Source organism: Homo sapiens, chromosome 6 (genome assembly GCF_000001405.40).
Source record: "Homo sapiens chromosome 6, GRCh38.p14 Primary Assembly".
NCBI lineage: Eukaryota > Metazoa > Chordata > Mammalia > Primates > Hominidae > Homo > Homo sapiens.
The window spans coordinates 170,086,497-170,088,940 of record NC_000006.12 but is presented as its reverse complement, the minus strand read 5'-3'; the positions used below and the strand labels follow the sequence as shown (position 1 = coordinate 170,088,940).

Sequence of the window (2,444 nt, the reverse complement as noted above, 5' to 3'; positions counted from 1 at the left end):
GGTGTCTCATCAGACGTGCAGAGCTGCCTGCACCAAGTGGGACCTTTGCCCCTCCCCGGGGAGCCTACACTGCCGCCCGGCGGGGACAGTCCAGGGCCAGATGCCTGTGAAAGAGGGCGAGGCACGGCCCCAAAGCCTTGGCTGTCAGGATTCCAGGCCCAAGAGGAAGCGGCCGCCCATGTGCCGGGTGAGGTGATGTCTCGTGGCTGCTCAACAGGAGGCCCCGGCACGGATGGTCCTCGCCCTCACACGTGGGCTCAGTTACGTACACACATGTGCCTCATCACACACTGAGCAAACTCCACCGCGGTCAGCCTGCACGGGGACCAGCCCCCGAAGGCCCCTCACAAACACTTATGCCAGAGGCTAGGGGGGTACAGCAGGGTTACCTGCAGGCCCAGAAACCTCTCGGTGTGGCTCGTGTTAGGCCCCGTGGCTTCTTGCACTGAGGCCACGCTCCTGGCTGGGGCCTTGGGGTGAGTGTAGCGTAAATGGCCACCTGCAGGAGGAACCTGTTGGCTCCGTGGCCCAAGACTCTGTTCTTCCGAAAACTCACAGGCTGATTGTTGAGTGGTTGGTCCGTGCACCATCTGGGAGCTGGGGCTGCGGTGGGGGCCCGCGCACCTCTGGCCGTCCTCCTGCGCTCCAGCAGCCCCTTCCCGTCTCCTGTCCCTCTCCCCGCTCACTCCCAGCCCCACAGTCACACCCAGGCTCCCTTCCCAGCTCTGCTCCCACCAGCGGCACCTCACAGCCACGTCAGCTCTTTCTCCTTCGTGCCGAGCCTGTTGTCTACAGACTTCCTCAGGCTGTGGCCGCGGGGTTTCGCGGGCCGACGCTCACCACATCCTGTCCTTTGCCTGTTTTCTCCCTCCCAAGGGCAAGCGCCGCTGCCCCGGCCCCGAGCTCAGCCACAACCTGTGCTGCCGCCCACCCCACGGCCTCCCGTTCCCGCCACACCACGCTCCTCCCACCGCAGGGTCTCCCGGTCCCCACCCACACCACGCTCCTCCCACCCCACGGCCTCCGGGTCCCCCCCACACCACGCTCCTCCCACCCCACGGCCTCCGGGTCCCCCCCACACCACGCTCCTCCCACCCCACGGCCTCCCGGTCCCCCCCCACACCATGCTCCTCCCACCGCGGGGCCTCCGGGTCCCCCCACACCACGCTCCTCCCCCCACACCACGCTCCTCCCACCCCACGGCCTCCGGGTCCCCCCCACACCACGCTCCTCCCACCGCAGGGCCTCCGGGTCCCCCCCACACCACGCTCCTCCCACCCCACGGCCTCCCGGTCCCCCCCCACACCACGCTCCTCCCACTGCAGGGTCTCCGGGTCCCCCCACACCACGCTCCTCCCACCGCAGGGTCTCCGGGTCCCCCCACACCACGCTCCTCCCACCCCACGGCCTCCGGGTACCCCCACACCACGCTCCTCCCACCCCACGGCCTCCGGGTCCCCCCACACCACGCTCCTCCCACCCCACGGCCTCCGGGTCCCCCCACACCACGCTCCTCCCACCCCACGGCCTCCCGGTCCCCCCCCACACCACGCTCCTCCCACCGCGGGGCCTCCGGGTCCCCCCACACCATGCTTTTCCTTGGCAGCCTCAGCCTCATTCCTTTCCTCTAAACCTCCACACTCGGCCTCCCCTGCTGAGGCTCCCGGACGTTTCATGACCTTTTAACAGTGCGATGCTCCCTTCCGTTCCACGGGCCGGCCTTGTCCACGCCCTTCCCCGAGCTTGGCCGGTGCTGTTCCCCAGCCTGGGGCCGCCCTGCACCCTTGGCCACGTGTAGCTCCCTCCAAGGGTCCAACTACACGGTCCTGGCTCTTTCTCGAAGCCTCCCCTGCCCCTTCCTTCCCACGCAGGTCCCTTTCCTCTACACAGTTGGACGTGTTGTCCCGTGCCCTCCTTTCCCCGCATTTCCTCGTCTTTCCTCGTGGACAGTGAGCTTCGTGCGGAGGGGAGTGCGGGCCCTGCGGGTCCTGGTGCTGCTGAGCGCAGCACTCGTTCTGCGGTGGACACTCCAGGCGGCTTTCCCAGAGGAGGGGGCATGGCGGGAGCGGGCCTATGGGTTGGGCGTGGATCATAAAGCTCCCTTCTGCCCAGAAGCTTCAACTCTAGACGGGCGTTGGAGTTTGTTCCATTTGTACCAGCGACGTGGCGTTCCCTGCCTCTCCTGCTACGGGGTGGCTGCCTCCCCACGGCTTGCCCTATCCCTCCTGCCGCCCCTTCTGCCTTCCCCGCCTGCTCCCCGCTCGGTCCTCCCTGGCTTCTTGCTGCCCACGCCAACCATCACCTCTGGTCGCCCTCCATGGGCTGGACAGAGACTGGACGTGGTGTTTTTCTGTGTGAAATGTACCCTTTAAGATGTTCTATAAATATAAATAATTATCATGAAGACAGTTGGAATCATTTAATTGAAAAATAAAAATGATATT

General features: G+C 66.0%; 1 annotated feature.

Moving 5' to 3' along the window:
- Positions 209-308: an enhancer, noted in NCBI's record as "active region_25466". NCBI's record gives its function as "activates an Ori minimal core promoter by ATAC-STARR-seq in GM12878 lymphoblastoid cells {active_cell/tissue: GM12878}" and the evidence as "EXISTENCE:reporter gene assay evidence [ECO:0000049][PMID:35858748]".